Raw genomic sequence first — 24,100 nt, 5'->3', positions numbered from 1 at the left:
TGTCACAAACGTAAAAGTAGAACCTTGAAAAAAAAGACCCAGAAACACATTTGGATACTTTGGTCTAAAGCTATTCAGTCCAATCTAGTAGCCATGTGGTTAGTGGTTACCATAATACTGAACAGTGTAGACACAGAACATTAAAGTTCTATTGAAATGCTCATCTAAAACATGATTAGTTTTTCTGTTTGACATATAAAACATGAAGTCAGAAAAAAGTAATTTTGATATAATAAACACATTTAACTGAACTAGTATATCAACTTCAGAAAAATATTTCCTTCTCTTTTTTTAATCTCCAATTTCAACCTGGTCCAATTTTCACTGCAGATTTCAACCAGGTCCAACTTGAGAGAGATCAAATGGAAAAGATTATAAAACCACAGGCTCATTTGTCTGATCTTAACATTTCACAGACATCTGTAACATCCTTGACCCAAATGTCATCATCGTCTTGTGCAATCTAATGTAACTAACTTGACATTTAAACACTGAGAGAGACTCCCGCCTCTCACGTTCATTTTCTCCTTTTGTGACTTGGTGGAAAGAAGGGGAACTGTTGTTGAGGACAGCAACAGAGGAAAGGAGAGCGCTAGATGACAGTAAGGATCCAGTGGTTCTTAGCTATAAAATCCGACATGACTAAGGTCAGTTCTAATCTCATTTAATCATCTCCGCTGTCATTAACTTAGCCACTACCTACAGACTAAGCTAAGATCCTCTCACCACGATAAGCTGAGCCAAACAATTTGGTTTAAAGGGGAGAAGGTTGGGCCTGAGGCCGTGTGATCCATCATTAGGTTAGAGAAGGTACAGGAGAAATCATCAAAGTAAAAAGAAGAAAACTAGTCAGATTCTCGGAGAGCTCAGAGTAGAGAAAGGAATGGAACGAGATGCCGACTGGCAGAGTCTGAAGATTGAGTTTTACATTCTCAGAGCTCAAAGGGTGTAGGTACTGACAGAATGAAAGTTCTTCCAGTGCTACTGTAAGGCTAGGGTGAGTACCCCTACTGTTACAATCTCTGAGCTTTTGAAGAGCCTGTGTTCTCCACTGTAAAAGGAAACTCCAATAGGAGATAGTAATTTAAGATGTTTTAGGACCAAAGACCACATTGGCTGGGATAGAGAAAAGTACTACTACTTCAGAGTAAACAATAGAGTCTGGGGTCCCCAAGGTCTGAACTTTTGTAGAATTCAGAGGAGAAGTAGTGCTTGAATCTCAGTTTCATCTCTCCTTTCTTGGGTTCTCCTCAGTTTATGACAATATGTTTGGTAAATACCTTTTAATGGGATTTCTTTGTTTACTACTAATATGGTAGGAGATATAAAACAAAATAGACCTCAATATTTTTTGGCAATACAGGTTGACGAACCTTTATCTGAAATGCTTGGGACCAGAAGTGTTTTAGATTTCAGATTTTTCTTCAAATTTTGGAGTATTTGCATTATATACTTACCCTAATCAAAAAAATCTGAAATCTGAAATGCTGCTCCAATGAATATTTCCTTTGAGCATCATGTTAGTGCTCAGAAAGTTTTGAATTTTTAAGCACTTGGGCTTTCTGATTTTTAGATTAGAGATGCTCAACGTGCACTAACATAATACAAATTAACATCACTAGGCATTACTAGAGGTCAGACCCTGTACTGTGTGTGTGGGTGTGTGCATATGTCATGTATATATATACATATACAGGCATTTCTCATTTTATTGCACTTTATTGTGCTTCGCAGACATTACACTGTTTACACAAGGTCTGTGGCAACCATGAATTGAGCATCTACTGGTGCCATTTTTTTAGTAAGCACGTGCTCCCTTTGAGTCTTTGGGTTACACTTTAATAATTCTTGCAGTATTTCAAACTTTTTCATTATTATTTTATCCATTATGGTGGTCTATGATCAATGATCTCTGATGTTACTGTTTTAATTGTGGGGTGCCACAAACTGCACCAATATAAGTGAACTTAATAAATGTTGTGTGTGTCCTGACTGCTCTCCCAACAGGCTGTTCCCCTGTCTCTCTCCCTTTCCTCAGGTCTCCCTACTCCCTGAGATACAATGATGTCGAAATTAGGCCAATTAATAACACTACAATGGCCTCTAAGTGTTCAAGTAAAAGGAAGAGTCACAAATCTCACTGTATTTTTTTATTTATTTTTTTGAGATGGAGTCTTGCTCTGTCGCCCAGACTGGAGTGCAGCTGCGCAGTCTCGGCTCACTGCAAGCCCCGCCTACCGGGTTCATGCCATTCTCCTGCCTCAGCCTCCCTAGTAGCTGGGACTACAGGCACCCGCCACCATGCCCGGCTAATTTTTTGTATTTTTAGTGAGACGGGGTTTCACCATGTTAGCGAGGATGGTCTTGATCTCCTGACCTCGTGATCCGCCCGCCTTGGCCTCCCAAAGTGCTGGGATTACAGGCGTAAAGCACTGCGCCCGGCCACAAATCTCACTTTAAATAAAAATATAGCAATGATTAAGCTTGGTGAGGAAGTCACGTTGAAAGCTGAGATAGGTCAAAAGCTAGGTCTCTTGCGCCAGTTAGCCAAGTTGTGAACACCAAGGAAGAATTCTCAAAAGAAATTAAAAGTGCTATTCCAGTGAACCCACAAATGATAAGAAAGCAAAACAGCCTTATTGATGATATGGAGAAAGTTTGAGTGGTCTAGACAAATCAAACCAGCCACAACATTCCCTAAGCCAAAGCCTAACCCAGGGCAAGGCCCTCAACATTCAGGCAATACTCTCCACCAGCAAAAAGATTATGACTCACTAAAGGTTCAGGTGATTGTTAGCATCTCTGAATAATAAAATGTTTTTATTTTATTTTATTTTTTTTTGAGAGAGAGTCTTGCTTTGTTGCCCAGGCTGGAGTGCAGTGGCGTGATCTTGGCTCACTGCAACCTCCGCCTCCTGTGTTCAAGTGATTCTCCTGCCTCAGCCTCCCAAGTAGCTGGGGTTACAGGCATGAGCCACCACGCCTGGCTAATTTTTGTATTTTTAGTAGAGACGGAGTTTCACCATGTTGGCCAGGCTGGTCTCAAACTCCTGGTCTCAGGTGATCTGCCTGCCAGAGCCTCCCAAAGTGCTGGGATTACAGGCGTGAGCCACCGTGCCTGGCCAATGAAGTGTTTTTAAATTAAGGCACGTAAAGTTTTTTAAAAAAATACAATGCTACTTCACATATAATAGACTATAGTATAAACGTAACTTTTATATGTGCTGGAAAATAAAAAAAATTCTTATGATTCACTTTGTGATATTCCTTTTATTATGGTGGTCTAGAACCAAACCTGCAGTGTCTCTGAGGTGTGCCTGTATACATACACATACACAAACATTTAACATTTAAATCCATCACTGCATTTAACTTTCACAAATGCTTTATGAGTTAAGCAAAATTATGCACGGCTTACAGATTGAAAAAAATGAAGACAGAAAATTATATAACTTGCCCAAGGCAAGTAAATAAGTCAGATCTTCATAATTTTACATGGATGGATATCTAAAATATAATTTTGAATAAAAAAGGTAAAATTAATAGATCAATTATAGGATACACTATGTACCTAAATTTTAAGAAAGCACAAAACTAATGCCCTATGTTTGAGACAGACACATATATAAAGAAAGACATAAAAGGTGCACTGGAAAGATATATATTTAATATATTTAATACACGAGTGTAGATGGTGGGAGCAGATGAGATTAACAATGAGGGACATGAGACTAAAAAGAAAAAGGGGCTTGGATTAATGATAATGGGCCACAAAGTAAAGATACAATTAATCATCTCAATCAAATACAGAGCAGTTATACACTTGAGGCCCAACCGCTGCTTCCCTCAAAAACCATGCCCAAGTCACACAGCTAGTAAATGACCAAGCCAGCAATCAAGCTGAGGTCTATCTGACTCCAAAGCCTGTGCAGGCTGTTATTTACTCTGCCAGATCAGGCAGTAATTATCTTTTGGAGACAGGCTATTTTAAAAGATGAACGAAGTTTCTATATATGATGCTCAGAAATACTATGGAGTAATAATTTGAGAACTAGAACAAAGGCGGAACTAAAGATAACCCAACACAATATTTCCTTTAAGAAAATAAGACAGTAATGCTATTACAGTATTTATGAGTTCCTAATTCTTTTAACTCATTCATGATACTCTTGTATAATATGGGCCCAAATACATACCATGGATGAACATCATCTTTGGACAGTCTTTTAGCACTAGATCTGTGATTCCACAATTGGTCATAGTGACTCCAACAAGATTCTTGGATTTTAATACAAGAACCTACAAGCAGAAAAATTAGAAACTATATAAAGATACAAACTTTAGTTTATGTGCATTATTTAGGAACTGGGCTAGACTGTGATAAAGGTAAGTGAGGGTTTTTTCTCTACCTGCACATGGTCATCCTCGATCACAGGATCACTTGTACTAGTGGATTTATCTGCTGTCCGCTTCCGTTTCATGGCGTGACGTGGCTTTGTTTTGGCTACTTCTAAAAAAGGCAAAAAAAAAGAAAATCCAAATTTTAGCCTTGCTTTCTTTCCCTCAAGCACATTCAATCACATACGTATGAACATAATCAAGGTAATTCCCAAATCTACAATTTGGTTCCCAGTGGAATACAGTTACATTGGTATTTCCAGTGGATTGTTTCAAAACAGGATCACCCTCCATTACTTCAAACATATCTACATCAAACATAACAACCCTTCTCATGCCTAGGTCATCCTAATAATCTAATAAACATTCCTACTTCTAGGCTCTCTGACTCATCCCATCCTAAATACTATTGGTGAATTGAACTCCTATCTTTCCTACTAAAAAACTTTTAAATTATTGACTGCAGCTTAGTGAATGTTTCAATGCTTCACATTTGGAGCTATGCTTCAGCTCTGTCCACTCTCCATACCATACTCTAGTCATCTCCCACTGCCAATGTCTCTGAAGTCATCAATTGCTCTAGCTCCTTCTGCCCAGAACACGTTTTCTGACCTTACTTTTTGAAATACGACCCATCTATGAAAGGTCCAACTCAAGCACTTAGTTTTAACAAAGCACCCTGGATCCTCAAACATTACATACTGTCCTATAGTTCCTTTTATACTTGTTTTGTTGGTCCATTCACATAACAGCTCGTTAAAGGCAACAACACTCTCTTAATTCATCTTTGTTTCAATGTCAGTCACTAGCAAAGGGATAAAATGAATGTTTATTGAATGAACTGGCACTCAACACTTACAGAATGAATGAATGCATCACAGGTAAAACAGAATAACAAATATTTACTGAGCGCTTACTGTGTGTCAGGCACTGTTCTAAGGGTTTTACTCGTATTAACTCATTTAATCCTTATAATAGCTCTGAGATGGATTTATTGTTCTCCCTGTTTTACATATTAGGAAACTGAAGCATGGGATGGTACAAGAACTTGCCACAGTGTTAAATGGGAACCAGGAGTCAAACCCAGGAAATCTAGCACCAGTCACTAAGCTAGAAAACCTGCAATCTTTCGTCTGTCAAACCCTGGTTAATAATGCCCTAACTTATTTACTAGTATTGTTCTGAAGCAATACACTTCAAAATAAGCAAATATTGTCCTTATTTAATTTAAAAACAAGTGCTAATAGCTAAAACTTAAGCACATATATATTCTAAGAAAATACATTAGTCATTGTCCTTGTTTTTGATACTTAATCATATTGTAGCAGAGCATATATTGAATACAACTGACTTTCATGAATTAAATCACCACTATACTGCTTTTTTAGATAGTACTGCTAGTTATAAACATTCTATTGGTAATTCTGTACTATCAGTAATTCTGTAATCTCAAACATGAAAGATCACAAAAAAAGACAAGGAAATTGAACAAATACTGCAAATTCCTAAAGGCTTGGGGTCAGATGGGAACTTCAGAGATTTAGCCTAAGTGATTTTTTTACACACCAAATCCTTTCTCCACCATGTGAAGTCTTTGTGAAATTCTACCCTGTAAAACAATTCAAAGCAGCTGCTTTGGCTGAAGGCAGAAAAGGAGCCCAAGAGCTCTACCCATCAAACTTCCTCCAAGGACCTTGAAACTAAGCAAAATTCTGGAGTTCCAACAAAACATGAAGACTATTGACCACACAACACAACGTAGGCCTTCTCCCACAGTATCCTGAAGGAACTTCATCCAAAATCAAACAATCTTCATTGACATGAAACCTTCTAAAGGCAGCACATTTCACCTGATAGCCAAAATTCACAATCCTTTTAAAACCTCATTAGTAAGTCCTGGTTCCCTCTCCCAGTACCACAAAAATGAAAATGAACAAACAAAAAGCAAGCCTGTTTCCACTACATGACAGTGTTCTAATAAAGATCTCTCAGTAAAATACTTTTATGATCTGATTTTCAAGTATCTCACCTTCCTGGATTGCTCTCTCCCTTCCCCTTTAATTTATCAGAGCATGGGGTTCAAAATTAGGTAAAGTTTCCTGCTCTCCAGGGTACCCAAACTGGTAGTTTACATTTTCTAGGCAAAGTTATAAAATGAAGTCACACTTCATACATACATGAGCTTGAAAAACAAACATTTCTGATGCATGAGGAAGAAAGTTTGTGTGTTTGTTATTATTCTCTTATGCCTCCCTCCCTGTTTAGAGACAATTAATTTTGTTTAGGAACATTTTTTAGTAACTCAAAACATCCGCTAGTATCAACAATACCTCATATGATGGTTTCTATACTTATTATGTTCATAGTTATTATCTAAGCCCCATTCCATGTGTAAGACATGGTGCTAAAGGATAGAAATATACTGGTGAAAAAGCAGAGACTGTCCTTGTCCTCATGGAGCTCACAGTCTACTGGAAAGGAAGACAGTAAAACAAGAAATTACAACAGAGTGTGGTTCACATTAATGTTGAAGATGCTACAGAAACAGAGAAAGGCAGATCAATCCAGTCTTGGGGTGTCAGGGAAAGTGTTTAATATTTATAGCAACTAATCTTAAATGTTATTCTTTGACAATCCAATTATATATTTCTCTAATATTTATAAATTGTTATACAGTGAGGATTAAAAGCAACTTAGTTATTTATTCCCAAAATATAAATTCACAAAACAATTATATTAGCTTCTAAAATGGCTTTAACACTCCACAGGGCCATAAATTAAAAACCAAAGAACTCAAACGTTACATTTTTTGAACTGATTTTTAAAAATCTTTAACATTCAAGTTTCTTCCTTTATTAGTTTGGATTTTTCTCTTTAAAAAACATGCCGGATTAAAAATAATTTGGGCCGAGTGTGGTGGCTCATGCCTGTAATGCCAGCACTTTGGGAGGCTGAGGCGGGTGGATCACCTCAGGTCAGGAGTTTGAGACCAGCCTGACCAACATGGTGAAACCCTGTCTCTACTAAAAATACAAAAATTAGCCAGGCATGGTGATAGGCGCCTGTAGTCCCAGCTACTCGGGAGGCTAAGGCAGGAGAATGGTGTCAACCCGGGAGGCGGAGCTTGCAGTGAGCCGAGATCGCGCCACTGCACTCCAGCCTGGGCAACAAAGCAAGACTCCGTCTCAAAAAAAAATAAAAAAAAAATAAAAAATTAGCTAGGCATGGTGGCAGGTGCTTGTAATCCCAGCTACTGGGGAGGCTGAGGCAGGAGAATCACTTGAACCCGGGAGGCGGAGGCTGCAGTGAGCCAAGATGGTGTCACTGCACTCCAGCCTGGCTGACACAGCGAGAATTCGTCTCAAAAAAAAAAAAAATAATAATAATAATAATTATAATTATAATTTGTAAGCTACCCAAATAACTTCTTGTTTTTTCCAAAAGGGACTTTAATAATATTAAAATCAGTACTTTGATATCTCCCCCAAAAAAATACTATTGAAAGTAAACAGACATTTTTATAAATCTAAAATACATTAGCAAATAATTTACCTACTATGACCATGTTACAGACATTAGAAGTCTTCTCAAATTGAAAAAAATCACATAATAAAAGCAATAAAAAGCACTACATAAATGATATTTTCTTTATTTTAAATCCAGAGAATGATTTAACTTAAGAAAAAGTTCTAGACATGAAAAAAGAATAAAATAGTTAAGGGATAAGCAGAACACAAGGCAAAAAATAACATCAAAACTTCAATGGCTAATATGAAGGCTCTGTATTAAAAACAAAACAACAAAAAACGGTAAAATTTTATCAAGAGACATAAGTAAAACGACAAACATAACAGTCCCTAAACAGGAAGACACAGTGCTGTTAAAATGACAATTATGTTTCAGTTATCAATTGAATGCAATTTCAAACAAAAACCAAGCTTAGTTTTTGGAACTTGATAAAAATATTACAAAACACATCTATAAAAATAAATGGCAAATGCATGGCTAGTCAAGGAAATTTTGAAAAAGAATAATGAAAGAAGACAGAGCACCAGAACAGAATAGAATGACCAGAGATCAACCTAAGTATGTCAAAGAATTTAGTAGATGATAAAAGAGCATTTCAAAATCATAGCACGAGAATGGACATCCATAACCAATATTGAAACAAGATGGTGATAGTTTGGAATAAAAAAAAAAAAATTAGCTCCCACATATTGAAATAAAATTCCAACTGAACTAAGGAACTAAACTGAAATCAATGAATAAAGGAATAAGAAGATGCGCACATTTATCTGAACCAAGTGTAGGAAAGGCCTTTCGCAGCATAAAAATAAACTCATAAAGGAAAACATGCATATCTGACTTTGCAAATACGAAAAACCACACAACAAAAGGTGTCATAGGAGGCAGATACTGTTTAATGGACACAGAGTTTCAGTTCAGGATGATGAAAAAGTTCAGATGGTTGGTGGTGACAGCTGCCTAACAAGATGAATGTATTTAGTGCCACTGAATTATACACTGTACACTGAATGGTAAAGTTATATTTTACCACCAATTAAAAAAAAGATATTATCAAACATTTACAATTTAAGCTGGGAAAAGTACTTTCACCATATGGCAGAACCACTGTTTGCAAAGCATAAAAAAGTCTTCAAATAAAACTCATATATTTCAATGAGTTTATGCAACTATGGTAACTAGCACATAACTAAGGTCTCAAATGTATCTCATGAAAGCTTACTTTTGTTCTGTTTAGCTCTGTATGAATCCATTAGTTCTATTTTGAATATACAAAAAGCACTGACTGCCTATGTTCTGGGACTGATTTTAAGATTTTAAAACTGAGGGCTACTTGAAGAAAATTAAAATACATTATTATCACTGTCAGGCAGTAATGATATAATAAAGGCAGGAAAGAGTACTTAAAAATAAGGTCAGAAACAGTAACAGACTTATGATTAATAAATATGCTTACACCCAATCCATGGCTACACATTATAAACATTAATGAAATTAAATACACATATATGTTTTGAGTATTTTCACCAAAATAATTCTCAGCCAAACCATTTACTTACCTGCTTATCTCCTGGCAAATCTTACTTGAAGCAAAACTAGATTTCTGAAAAAATTACTAAGTACTGCAGAGACAGAAAGAGGGGTATACACAGGAAGCTGCACTGAGATGTGTTCCCCCAGCCCCAGCAACGTCAAGTCCTTGCCTTTTGGCTGAGTTTAAAACTTTCCTAAGTTAAGACTTCTCTAAGTGTGTGATGGCAGCAGAGTTCATCTACTGGGGCTTAGGTGTCAGTCAGTGTTATATTTAGGGTAAATATACACAATGACATTTTCCTTAAAAGCTGAACTATTTTGAGCTTTCCAGGTTGGACATTTTATAAACTGTTTTACACACCCACCCTCCAAACCATTGCTGAAATTAGTTCAAAATTCACATGACCCACAAAACCCCAAAATAGAATTTAATTTGCCAAACTGGCTTTTTGTAAGAAAACTCATGAAACAAGTTCATGCCTTTCTGCAGCCCTACCCTGCAGTTGCTAATCCTAGGAGCATTGTCATACCTGACTCAGATACCAGCAGTACATGGGACAGTCTGCTCCTGGCCCTGGTTAGGGGCCTCCGAGGGTAGTCTTCATTAGACTGCACGTCACAACTCTCAGGCTGGGAGCTCCCCCTCCTGTCCTCACCTGTAGCCCCAGAGCCACTCCCATTAGTCCTCTCATCATGTGCTGGGCCTGAAGACCCCCCTTGTGGCAGAGTCCTAAAGGAAAAGGCGGATCTCGTACCATCCGGGCCATTCACAACACAGGCTCGGCTGGTTGAAGGACGTTCCTCATCAGAACACCTGCTAGTTCTCCTTTGGGATTCCTGGGGCCTGTGACAGCAGCATCTGGGGCAGACAGAACTCTCTGCATCTCCCTCCTCCATGGCCTCAGAGTCCTCTGACCCACCGGGGGAGCAGGCACACTGCCTGGACACATCCACTTCTGTAGGGCTAGGCTCGGAAGAGCCGCCGCTGTTCACCGTCCTTACAAAGTCGGGGCTTTGAGAAGCAGTGTTGTGTGAGCTGGAGTTTCCCACTGTGCTGGCGGTGGTGCTGCTGCAGCTGGGATAAACATCCTTGTTTTTTTTCTTTTCAGGAATATCCCTAGCTGCTTTCATATCGGCTTTGATCTGCTCACTGGTGACCTGACAGCCTTTCTCACAGCTGCTTTCCTCGAGGGGAAACTGCTTCGACTGGCCCATCTGATGGGAGTTGTACCTCTTTCGAAGTGGAGTCTTGCCTTTTCCACTTACTGCTTATAGAAAAAGAAGAACGGCCCGAGGAAAAGAAAAGATTTCAGTATAAATTCTGGACAAAACGCAAGAGTAAATTTGGAACAGGAAATAATGTATACTAAACACTAATTTTCCTAAAGTATAACTGTGATCACATCACTGAGCTGCTATAAAATTCTCTATGGCTCCCTAGTGTCTATCTGGTTTATACTCCTTAGCTATGCCTTCAAACCTCACTATGATCTGATTCCAAACCATCTTTCCATGTCGTACCCTCCATATACATTCTACATTCCAGCTCCAGCTTTTCTCTCAAAATACCCCTGCTTTACTACCTCAGGGGCTTTGTTCTCACCAATTTGTCAGCTGTGGTCCTCCCTGGTCCTCTACTCCATCTCTTCTGCACCCCCACCCCAAAGCAACTGTAGTTGTAGTATATGCCCTGTAATATTACTACCTATTGTTTTTGACATGACTCTTCAACTAGACTAGAACTTCTGTAAAGACAGACCATGACTTACTCATCTCTGTATCCCTCACAGTGCCTAACACAGTACCTGGGGCATAGTAAGGCTCAATGAAGATATAAAGGAATAAATAGGTTTTGTCTGGCCAACAGAGGATTTAGTTGCTAAATTTAGAAACTGCACTGTCTGGGAAGGTAGGTTAGTCAGCTGGTCATATTACTTTTCCTAAATTTCAGTTTCCATAAAACCTTCTTTCAACCACATTATAAAGTTATCTGAATTTCTTAAAAGAAATAAAAATTGAATAATGAGTCAATGATTAGCAAATTATTTCAAGTCCAAAGAACTAAACTTTCCAGATAATAGTACTACATAAATGTTCCAGGGTCAGTGTTAAATGTGTTTTGAACATTCAAAAATATTAAGGAGTAAGGGTACCCAAGGAAAAATGACTGCACAATTTGCAAAATATCCATCTTTTGCTAAAAGTGGTAAGCACGTGGTTCTGCGAAACCAAAGGGAAGGAAAGACAAGGAAGAAGTATGAACTTCAAAGTTAAGAGAGAAGTACAGTTTCTTGGTGAGGCACTGCAGAGGGTTGTTGCCTAGATTTAAAGGGATGTGAGGGATTATAAAAATATGCTTTAGGACTCCTTCCAGCACCAAACTAGCCACCAATATTCATTAAGCACAACTGGACAGATTATCAACTGGGGAATGGTTGCTTTTCATTGCTCTGGATGACTCAGCAGTCATCCCTTACATAAGGCACAGGCTTTTCGCTCACTAATCTCTGACACCCTGATGCCACAACTGAAGCCTCCACTGTAGACTTATAATCCTTACTTCTCTTCTTCCCTGAGCCCTCATTCCACAACACTGTTGTGTTGTATTGCCTACAAGAGCACCACCCAGATTTCCCTTACTTGGGCAAGTGCATTTCTTGCTTCCTGTCACATTCCGTAATATATGTTAACTGCACCCAAGTTGTCATATTAAGGCCAAGTGTGTCAGTTCTGATAGTGACTCTCATTAATAGTTCAGAGAAAGACAATTTCTCACCTGACAATTCTCTGGACTGCACTGACTCTCCAGTTTTTTCTTCACGTTCAGAGTAACGCCGAGTACCGTTCTTAGGAATCCAGACTTCTTGGAGTTCTAGACTATCTTCTTCATCATCACTCTCTGAATCATGAACAGTAATTGAGGTTGGTTTTACTACACGCTGAAGACCACTGGGTCCTTAAAAAAAAGCACAGGCCTAACAGTTACTTTTTGCGCAAGAAAGGATCTAATGCAAAGTACTGTTTCCAGGGATCTGGAATCAACAGAGATGCTTTGTGGCTCTATACAGCCTCCCCTGGCACACATTTTAACTGATAATGCACTTGGATAAGATACTGTGAAAGCAACTCAACTCTAAACCATTATGTCAACATTAAATATGATTAATATGCCAACCAACTTGATGCATTTCCAAAGGCAAATTAAAATAGAAAATGATACAGCATCCCCTTGCAGGACCTTCACTATTTCAAAGAGTATCATAAAATCATCCTAAAAATAATCTAAATAACAGTGATAATAATTTTAAAACTAAGCTATATATTTTCTCAATTTTTCAAACATATGAGCCAAGGCTAGTAAATGAAGATGAACTCAGAAACATATGGGACTGGTAAATAAGACTCCATATTCTTTGAGTATAGATCTATCTCATTAGATGTAGCAGATACATTTTTGAAGGCTAGACGCATGTTACATTTTGGTTGAATATGTGTATTTATGTAAAAAATGTTTTATCTGCTTGGCAGTATAGCTTTTAAACCTAGTTCTTATAACCTAATTCTCTCTGACAAGTGACCAATATTAGCTCCATCAATAAACGTATGCTCCAAGGAACCTAGCTTTTTTCCTGTCACATTGTACAATGCCTGACACAGAGTAGGCACTCAATAAATATTTGTTGAATGAGTGACTGCATCTCTAACACTCTTAAAACAGGGTAGCATATTTTCGATTCAAAGACAAGGTAGCATTCTAACAGGCAGAGAATGAGAAAACTTCAGTTTTCTCAATTTCAATTCTGTCCCTTGATTATTGGCTGAGTGGTGTTGAGCACATCATTTAAACTTTTGAAAGAAAATTAATTTCCCCATCTACAAAATGAAAGGCTATGCGAGTTAATCTTTAAGGGCCTAAGACTCTATATCCTGTCTTAAGTCAGCCAATGGCAAACAGACGCTAGGTTTTGGTTTGTTTACTAAACCAGGTCAACTTCTCAACTGCTCCTCCTCTCTAACTGAATTGAGGGGAGGGCAATAGCAGAATATTTAATCAGGTCATTTATTTTCCCATCAACAATTTGAGTGTTTTCTTTTTCTACACATACATGGACAAACTCATGCACACGTGGCTATAAAGAAAAAGCAGTTGTTGCTGCAGTCACAAATAATAAAAGACAAACTTTAGTAAGATACATGCAACAAGAATACCAGCAATGTATTACAGTTCTCAGTAATCAATAGCATAAAACGTATCATTAGCTGAAAGGTCAGAAAACAATCATTCTCGCTGTCTCATGTACTTCATTACAGTTAGGCCGTAGTTTCAGAATGATGAATGTGGGATGGATCACATGATTACCTGCTTGTTCCTCATCAACATCCACAGGAATAATTGCCTGGCTGTGAGCTGGAGTATTATTTCCACTCTCGGCCACCACCTCTCCATCTTCTTGGACGATGTCTTCCATCTCATTTAATGCTTCAACGAAAATATACACAAAGTAAAAACCAAAAGAAGTATAAAGAACTACAATGGCAGGCAAAACTGTGGCCGCCCTAAGAACTGAACAGTCCCGCTGATTACTAGGCCTGCCCTGAAAGAACAGCATATACTGCATACACTGTGCTTGTTACTGCAGATATTAAGAAGTATTTAATCAGTCTACAGGAGAGAAAATCACAGATGGGAAAGGATCATTTGTTGGAGAAAGCCCATCAAACTCATACAAACTCAAACAGTTAACAAAGAAACAAGGCAAAATATGATTAAGCCAAAAAGATGCCATTCAGATTAATGTCACTGAATTATATGGGAGAGGTTTGAAATTTCACAGGGACAGTGGGAATTGCTTTGGTTTTAAACAAGCACAACAGCACACCTCCCCCTGAATAATTGCCCAGCTCTAGCCTGCAATATCTATATTTTGGTTATTGCCAAAATGAGAAATGACCTTGCCTAGAAACCTTTCATGATAAAAGCCAATCAATTTTCTTCTTTCATTCAATTGACTAACAATTATGAGTAGCAGTAATTAATGTGTACATACTCTATGGCAGGCTCTATGCTAAATGTTTATAGAAACATTTTCTTATTTATTTCTCGTAGCAATCTTGTGTGAGGGCATTATTACTAGCCTGATTTTTGCAGTTGAGGAAATGGAGGTCTAGAGGTTTTAACAGTTTGCTAGGATTTAACCTGAGGAGTTTCTAGAGCCTACTGCACTACAGGAACTATGAGCAAGTGGGAAATTTATACTCCTTGCTCTTAAAGAGGATGCACACATTCTGGCAAAGATGTTAGACACATAGAATAAGGTCAGAATATACTTGCTAAGAGCTATAACAGTTCAAAAGTTCAAAGGGAACACAGACAAGAAACAACTAATTCTCTCATTGGGTCAAGGAAGGGTTCACTGAAATAAGGTGACATTTCATATACCACCATACAAGAATGCTACATTTTTTGGAAGAATAGTAGTCCAGTGGTTAAAACAAACAAACAAACAAACAAACAAACAAACAAACCAGTTATCTGTGTTGTGATAGAGATGCGAAAGAAAAAACAAGGCTGAAAAGGTAGCCTGGGCCCCAGATTGTTAAAAGCTTGGAAAGCCTTGCTAAAAAGCTTAGAATTGTTTGCAGTAGGCAGAGGGAAACCACTAGGTTTTTATGCAGGGAATGGCATGAAAAGAAGTACATTCAAACATCAATGTGATAAGGTTTTCCAAAGTTGCTGATCAACTGCTTTTAGGTTGCCAGAATAGCCTGTGCAAACATTTAATATGATACCCAAAAGTTGTTTAAACGATTTCTTTCATTGCATTCATTTGAATACTTACTGAGCATCTTACTACAATTTGTTAGTATTCCTTGGAGCTGAGAAACAGTGGTGAAATTCAAGATCCCTAGTCTCATGGCTTACTCTAGTTGGGGGAGAAAAAATTTTAAAAATAAAAATAAAAACATCAGATAGTAATGCCTTATGTAACAAAAAGTGTGATGTGACAGAGAATAAACTGGTGGCTGCTTAAGATCAGATGGCAAGGAAAGACATCTCTGAGATTAACATTTCAGCTAAGAACTAAAAGTCAAGAAGGAGCCAGCCATGAAAACATGGAAGGAGGGAATTCTAGGAGGCAGTAGTTAGTGCAATGCTAGGCACCAGCTGTCATGTTCAAGAATGATGTAGTGGTGGAAGTAGTACAAGATGAGGGCAGGCCAGATCGTACAGCATTTGGTGGTCCAATTTAAGAAGCTGGATCTTATTCTAAGGCAATGGGAAGCTATTAAAAAGTTTTGAGTAAGGTATCAATATTGTTTGGTTTGTTGTTAAAAGACTGCCCTGGTTGCTATAAGAACTAATTTTAGCTGGGCAAGAAAATAGGCCAGTTTGAAAGCTATTAAAACATTTAGGTAAAAAAAAAAAAAAGAGAAAGGTCTGATGTAGTGGTAGTACAATGGGAAAGGAGAGATGTAGGCATACTGGAGAGATGTTTCAGAGACATTCAACAAGAGTTGGTAAATGACTCAACGTCTTGGAGAGCAGGTAGGAAGTAAAGAAAAAAAGCATAATGGCTTGATTTTAGTCTCTGGTAATTAAATCGGATGATGGTGCCTTTGGGCTAGTGAAGATACAAGTGATTCTTGGTTTTGACAAAAAGCATAATGTCTTGATTTTAGTCTCTGGTAATTAAATTGGATGGTGATGCCCCTGGGCTAGTGAAGATACAAATGATTCATGGTTTTGACTTTTTTCCTTTGTTGGAAAATATTTTATCATTAAGGTAGTACATCTTTTTCAGAACAGTTTTAACTTACAGAAAGTTATATATATATGTATATGTATACATATATATGTATGCTAACTTAGAATCAAATATCAATATTCACCAAATGTTTTGTTTAGCTGAAATGTTATTTCAGCTGTAAAAAAGTCTTATAAAGAATTCATTGCCTCTTAACAAAATAATTTTTATGCAGTGAAATTGTTGCATAAATTAATAGAAATTTATTATCAGATATAATATTTAGTGGTTGACAACTACCTGCCCCAAAGTGTAAAACAAAATACATTTACTGGGATTTTTTTTCAGACTGTAGTTTGCCCTTAGGCTTCAAAAATAAAAATTTTACAAAATCAGTGGTTTTCAAAGTATAGTCCCAGACCAGCAGTATCAGCTCCACCTGGGTACTTTTCAAAAATTCAAATTCTTGGCCGGGCGTGGTGGCTCATGCCTATAATCCCAGTACTTTGGGAGGCCAGGGTGGGCGGATCGTGAGGTTGAGATGGAGACCATCCTGGCTAACACAGTGAAACCCCATCTCTGCTAAAAATACAAAATATTAGCTGGGTGTGATGGCACGCGCCTATAGTCCCAGCTAATCGGGAGGCTGAGGCAGGAGAATCGCTTGAACCCAGGAGGCGGAGGTTGTAGTGAGCCAAGATCATGCCACTGCACTCCAGTCTGGGTGACAGAGTGAGACTCTGTCTCAAGAAAAAAAAAAAAAATTAAAATTCTTGGCTTGGTGCAGTGGCTCACACCTGTAATCCCAGCATTTTGGGAGGCTGAGTTGGTTGGATTGCTTGAGCCCAGGAGTTGAGACCGCCTGGGCAACATATGAGATCCCAACTCTATTTAAAAAAACAAAAAACAGCAAATTATCTGGCCTCACACAGCCGAATAACTGGAACTCTGAGGGCAAAAATCAGCAATGTGCTGATTCCTCCAGGTGATTGTGATGCACACTCAAGTCTGAAAACCACTGCCATAAATAAAGCTGCAGAGCAATTTCACTTGGTAGTTAATTCAGGCTAATGGGGTGGAGGGATGAGGGAATGACGCTGTATTTAAAAGCATTAAGTAACTGGAATGTATGTTAAATCAAAATAGAAAATTAGTTAAATGATGTACAGGTAAAACTATGCTTTAAAGTTGTAATTCCTTAGAAAGTAGTTACATAAAAATAGACACTATGCTTTAGCAATTACAGAAGCATAATTGTGACACTTATAGGCAAATGTAAATTGTTAAAAAAACAGCAACATTGTGGGGCACAGTGACTGACTCATGCCTGTAATCACAGCATTTTGGGAGGCTGAGGCATGAGGATCACTTAAGGCCAAGAGTTTGAGACCAGACTGGGCGACACAGTAAGACCCTATCTCTACACAAAATTTTTTGAAAAATCAGCTGAGAGTGGTGTCACGCGTTTGTAGTCCCAGCTACTCGGGAGGCTGAGGTGGAAGGATCACTTGAACCCAGGAGTTTGAGGCTACAGTGAGCTATGATCATGCCACTACCCTCCAGCCTGAGTGACAGTGAGACTCTGTCTCAAAAAAAAAAAAAAACCCCACAAAAAAACTGTAATCATTTATTCTTATTTTAGAATGTTGCAAAATTCAGGTAATCAAGTTATATTTTCAGCTAACTAGCTCACAATTAAGTACTCTAAGTTCTAAGACTTCTCAAAATACAAACTTAAGATAATATCCTGCCAAATTATAAAATTTTGATAAATATAGTAACTGTGAAACAAAAAATCATAGTTTTGTTGGAGTTAATTTATACAAATTAAATAGCTTTTAAAATTATACAATGCCCCTCTTTTACAGTAAATTACCTCATGCAAGCTGAAGAAGTTAAATACAATACAGCAATAAAGACTGGTGTTACTTCATTCTGGGGCTGGTCCAAAACCAAGTAAAGGCCCATGCATGTAAAGATTTGTTTTTAAGACTCCGGGTCTCCCTCTGTCACCCAGGCTGGAGCGTAGTGGTGTGATCATAACTCACTACATCCTTGAAAACTCCCCACTCAAGCCATCCTCCCGCCTCAACCTCCTGAGGTTACAGGCATGTGCATTGCACCTGGCCCAGACGTGAAAAGTTTTCAAATTGTACATCAAGGAGAGTCAACATGTTAATACCAGTTTCAAAGAAATTTTAAAATTATTATTTTCACTTGAAGATTTGAACCATCAATATTAGTCAACTGTTTAACATAATTCCCCATTACCCCTTTTATTATGAAGCCCTGTATTTCTTTGTTTCAACCAAAAATCAGTCTTTTTCTAGTTCCTTAGTTTGCGGGAAAAAAAAATCTAACTTATATGTGTGTGTGTGTTGTGTGTGTGTGTATACATGTTTAATAACAGATACAACTAAACACACTACCATGTGGGAGTGACCTGTGGAATCTAATGTTTTCTACCAATCTTCATTTCTCTACAAATGCAGCCATTGCCTCTGGTTTTCTTAGGCTTCCTCTTGTTGAAGCTGTTTAATCCTTCAATTCTGGCATTTACGTATTGCTTTATACAATTATGCTTTATACATTATGTATTTATTCTTTGCTTCTCAGCATTTAACAGTATTTGAAGATACTATACTTGACAACAGTCCTAGGTAACTGCTGAAGCTGAATCCTTCCATAGTAATTATGGCTTCTTAAATCAAAATAGCTTATCCTATGTCTTGTGTATTTGGTTTTTATGCCAAATCTCTCATCTTCTGAAACCGTATTTATAAATCAAATTAAGATGTAAGTTCCATTTTCCTCTCTTAAATCAAATACAGATACAAATTAAATCAAACATGTTCTTGAATATCTTTTTGGTCCTTGTTGCAACAATATATGATTTCACAATGGCAGGCATTCTCCACTGTACTGAGAAGTCCATGGCAAAGTAATCTTCCAGTGAAGTCTACAATCTGTGTGTCAACTCAAACCACAAATGAGTTCACAGGATTTGGGTAGTTCTGAATGGCAGCTGCTGTAAGTTTCCCACGTACAGTCCATGTCCTCTGAAGTGCAGATCTTTATAGTGGTAGTAACCTGTACTATGTACCATAGCACTCAGGACAACAAAGCAAAGAGACAATACGTGACTGTCTCGCCCTCTCTTTCCCTTAACACCTGTTGGCTCTGCACTTTCATTTTTGCATTTTTAAGGGAGACTGGTTGGGGAAAGATTTTACCTAGGTTTGAAATGCTTAAGAGTATACCATGGACATAAAGTACAGAGCTAGATATAGCTGCATTTACTTCAGAAAAGTATACAAGTTAAGGCTGGAAACAAAGATTTGGATTTAATACCATATAGTTGGTACTAAAACCTTGAGCTTGAGTGAAAATGTGTAGAGAAAGATATCATGGACAAAAGTGGAATACAGGAGGTGCTACAAGCAAAGGAAAATGAGGTAGGAGAAAAACCAGCAAAATCGTTTCAGAGATGCCAAGAGAATAAAGTGTCTCAAGAGTGTACAAGTCTAGGCAACAATGTCTAATGCTGCTGAGATGTCAAATTAGATGAAAGTGGCGAAATGACCTCCAGATTCAGTAAGACAATCACTAGTGACTTTGCCAAGAGCCAAAGTGGAGAGTTCTATAGGGACCAAGTGAGATGAGAAAGTGAAGACATTGCCTACAGATGATTCTTTTGTCAGGAACTGTATACTCAGAGTGCCCCTAAAGGAAATCATGCCCTGTACACAGTACATTTCATTGTAAAAGCAGGTACATATCAGGGCACCCTATTTCTCATTAATTACTGTGTGCAAGAGTAGGCAAATGGGGAACAACAAAAGGATGGCTAGAAAAGATTCCTTTTCCAGTTCCTAAGCGTCAACTGGGAAACTGGAAAATTTGGTAACAAAACAATCTCACATCACTTCACTCATCAACAGAAGGATGGATGGAGCACCTTCACACATGGGTTGGCACACCGTAAGTATTCAATATATATTAATGAACTGGACAGATAATTACATAAATGAAATAGAATAGGTCCTTCTTAGCTAATGTACTTAATCTGCAGGGTGGAAGTGAAGACCTAATGATTAAAGGTACATGAAAGGTGCCAATGTCTAGCCCATGGTTGGTATTAATCTTTCAGTTCTTCAAATATCCAGAAATGGTCTTAATGTTCATGCTATCCATTGGTCTAGGAGACAATAAAAGATACTCCTTTGTCTAAATCCTGAAAGTTAAGTCTCAGACCTCAAGAGTTACCACTCTACCCTAATTCCCCTGGCATCTGTAATCTTTCCCATTCTGTAGGTATTCTTATAGGGTCTGTGGATAAAAGCAGTTTTGAAACAAGCAAGAAAAGAGAAAAATTTCACCTACTCCCTCATGTTCCTTATCAACTAGCTTTCCTCAATGTGGAAAGTGACAAGTTGAAACAGGGGAAAAAGGGAACAGGATAAAGCCAGAAATACAATACAAAGTGAAAATCATTTCTATCTGGAGCTCATAAAAGATCTGGGTTACCGTCAGCTGCAAACTGCTGCTCTCCTGGCTGCAGATCTTGCCGAAAGTCATTCTCCTCGTCTGAGTCATCTGGATGATGGTGATTGTTGTCGTGGATGTTGGCATTGTTATTCTGGGCATTATTATCGTCATTGTTGGAGTTCTGGTTGCTAACAAGAGCTGATGAAACACCAATTCCTGTGCCTGCACTCAGACCAACTCGAGCACAACCCTAAGGCAAAACCAAAACACATACGTTTATTAATTTGGGTTAGTATATATCCCTTCATTTTTAATATCCCTTCATTTCACCTTTACATTATAACTAATATTTATATAGTACTTATTTATGAAATGCTTTCACATACACATAGAAAATCCCATTTAAGGCCTGCAACACTTCAAGATAGATAAAGGGTTACTGGCTTGATTTACAGATGAGGAGTCATGCAAGGAGAAGAGATCTGCCCAACAGCACATGGCCAGTAAGTGGTAGAGCCGCAATTTGAAACCAGGATTCTGACCTTAAATCCTGAGCTTTCCCCATTATATTGTACTGCTTCAACAGTGGGAATGTAACCATTAATAACTGACAAGAGAGAACATAAATGGTTGAAGGATTAAGTTTTTAATTGCCTTAAGAGTACAAAGTTCTATATGTTAAGCAGTTTTAAAATAACATTTTGTACAACTGGGCTACCTCAGATTTCCCAGGCTATACAACTTAACAGAAAGATAGCAGCAAAGTAAAACATTCCCCAAATAAATCCTTAATTCTTGTTTATACTTTGGATTCCTAATTAGATTTAATCTACCAACCTAATTATATTTAATCCACCAATGAATTATCCCACGTAATAATTTCTGTCTTAAATTTCCAGCCTCACCCTTACCTTACCTTTTGTTTATATACTAACAGACAGCTTCCACTTATTTTTTCCTTACCCTTCCCCAGAGAACCCTTAATTCTCATTTAGAAGAATGAGAGGCTATGCATTATTACAACCTTTATGCCTTCACTGAGGCTGGCAGTAAAAAGTCCGACTGTAACACCGTAAAGGCATATCATTGAAAAGAAAAAAAAAAAAAAATCACAGGCTGTTTTTATTTTCTTTCCTATCAAAATAAACAAAAACTCCCTCAAATGTATCTTACCTTGGGTGGTTCACGAAACATCTGATCCAGTGAAATAAACTCTAGGCTGGGTAATAATTCAATAAACTGGCCAAAAGAGTCCAGCTTCAAAGCATGGCACCGTACTAGGTTGATATCAACCAATCGAGTCCATCTTGAGTGGTCTGTTAAAGAAATGACATGACCAGAGAAAATCTAAGTAACATTTTCCCCATTACTGATGAATTTTGATACAGGTCACAAAGACTTTCAAATCCTTTTTTTTAAAATAACTTTTCCTTTTTTTCATGACTTCTAAAACCCGATGATTCTAAATTATGATGTTTACATACCTAATTCCATTGTGAGAACTAAATGGCCTGGGGAACATTAATTTGAATCCAATCAGCCCTGATTTAAATGTGATCCACTCAACAACCTACATGGCTTTTCAACAATAGGACACTGAATTAAAAAATTATGGCATATTTATTTAATAGAACATTATGTAGCTATTTCAAAAGAATTAAGGAGAGCTTAATATGCTTGCTGACATGGAAAACTCTCCAAATTATACTTAGTACAAAAAACAAGCTACAGGACAGTGTATACAGAGTAAGATCCTTTGGTATAATATAAATCATTTTTAAATGCTACACATATATATGCTGCAATATGCATAATTTGTCCAGAAAAATATACAAAAAACTGTTGATGATGGTTACCTTTGAGAAGAGGAGAGTTTTCATTTTGTACCTTTCTGTACTGTTTGAAATTTATCAAGTGCATGTATTACTTATTTTTTTAAGTGTTAACAGGAATTCTGAGTGATGGGATTATAGGCCATTTTTTGTTTTCTTCTTTATACTCTTCTGTATTTAAGAAAACAAACAAACCAAAAACCCAATAAATGTTATTTTTTTAAAGTCATCTACGCCTGCTACATCCTAAAGTTCATATTTCCCAATAACTTCTTGGTTCAGCAGGGCCAGGGATAGAATTTAACTGCTGCTGGCACATGAGACATGACTATATTAACGAGTGATCTCAGCAGAGGTCCCAGAGCCCTAAAATAGGCCTGGATAGTAGCTTTGTGAGGAGATACAGATCCCGGTCAAGTGACTCAATAGCAGAGGAGGCTGTTCTGTAGGTGTCAGTGAGAGGCTTTGTCACAAGTACAACTTTTTCAGGCTCTCAATTTATTTAATGGTTTGTAAATTTCGGTATCTAAGAAGGGCCTTTAAGAAAACAGATGACATTACTCTGAGAGGAAAATGAACTCCCACCATAAGGGAAAAATATCAAGTGCAAAAGTCACACTTCTACATATAGGAGATTGGAGGGGGAGATCTGAAATAGACTGGGATTTCTAGTCAATAGAAATTTTTATCTCAGGTTAATGTCACTTAATTAAAGTTCAACATACATACCTACTTTGTCCTTTCAGATGATGTGCTATTGTGAAGATAATTCTGAGAAAATAACTACAATATCCTAAGTCCTAGGTAACAATGAACTAACCTTAATTTTATGTTCCTAGCCCAAAGAAGTACATATAAAAATCAGGGCACTTGAATCCACAACCTGGAGAGTATACACTTCTAGGCAGAGAACGTCAGAAGTTTAAAGAGGCATTGAATATACTTCCAACTTGGTTATCAAAGGTTACCAGAACTTGTATGAACAATCCAAATGAAATACCTACATTTTACATTAGGAATGCAATCATATCACACATAGAAAACATGGAAAGTTGTATTATTTCAGTATCAATAAAACATAGCTGTATTTTTAAGTCTGTAATACCTGAGATCCAATTGTATGGGTTGTGTAGATGAGGGCAATTGTAAATTGCCAGATATTTGATACAGGAAAAAACTTCATTGACTGCTTTCATCCCTATATCAGTGATGATACCAGGATTTTCTACCACATCAGCCAAACCATACTTCACCAGATCCGCATTAGCCATTCTGCCTAAAAAGAGCAATCAATTAAAAAAAAAAAAAGTCAAATTCTTAAGTGTTAGGGAGTGTTACCAACTTTGTATCTTACCAGTCAGTATAAAAAGTCTCTACCATCATTCTGTATCATCTGCTTATCATTGGGTTCAGGTATAATTTTAGGTTAGGTATTCCGTACATATGGTAGCACTTCTTGTACAAAATAATAAATTATATTAAAAGTCAAGGGACAGCTAGTAGGAAAAATTATTTCCAATTGTTTAGAGAAGAGAAAAGGCAAAAATTCTTAAAGCATAAGTGAAGGATCTATCATAC

The 24,100-nt window shown here is 37.5% G+C and overlaps 1 protein-coding gene and 1 pseudogene across 11 annotated transcripts in view, besides 1 other annotated feature; both read right to left on the bottom strand.

Annotated features, from left to right (window-relative positions):
* Positions 1-24,100, bottom strand: part of FBXO38 (F-box protein 38) — a 58,879-nt gene that overhangs the window by 4,903 nt on the left and 29,876 nt on the right. For 4 of the 11 annotated variants that reach the window (XM_024446223.2, NM_205836.3, XM_047417785.1 and 1 more), the window contains 8 exons: positions 23,628-23,798; positions 21,864-22,006; positions 20,730-20,940; positions 13,817-13,936; positions 12,233-12,412; positions 9,987-10,721; positions 4,410-4,510; positions 4,197-4,299 (listed from right to left, as the gene is read on the bottom strand). In XM_024446223.2, the coding sequence (XP_024301991.1) occupies positions 4,197-4,299; positions 4,410-4,510; positions 9,987-10,721; positions 12,233-12,412; positions 13,817-13,936; positions 20,730-20,940; positions 21,864-22,006; positions 23,628-23,798 (1,764 nt within the window). Of the gene's footprint in view, positions 1-4,196; positions 4,300-4,409; positions 4,511-9,986; positions 10,722-12,232; positions 12,413-13,816; positions 13,937-20,729; positions 20,941-21,863; positions 22,007-22,546; positions 22,689-23,627; positions 23,799-24,100 lie in introns of those variants that run through there. The other 7 variants (XM_047417786.1, NM_001271723.2, XM_047417789.1 and 4 more) reach the window with 4 other exon arrangements.
* Positions 361-561: a silencer, noted in NCBI's record as "peak5528 fragment used in MPRA reporter construct". NCBI's record gives its function as "represses an SCP1 promoter by STARR-seq MPRAs in K562 erythroleukemia cells {active_cell/tissue: K562}" and the evidence as "EXISTENCE:reporter gene assay evidence [ECO:0000049][PMID:32103011]".
* On the bottom strand, positions 18,678-19,280 carry PRELID3BP9 (PRELI domain containing 3B pseudogene 9; annotated as a pseudogene).

Source organism: Homo sapiens, chromosome 5 (genome assembly GCF_000001405.40).
Source record: "Homo sapiens chromosome 5, GRCh38.p14 Primary Assembly".
Lineage (NCBI taxonomy): Eukaryota > Metazoa > Chordata > Mammalia > Primates > Hominidae > Homo > Homo sapiens.
Note: the sequence above shows the minus strand (reverse complement) of the source record. Positions and strands in the feature narration are given on the sequence as shown.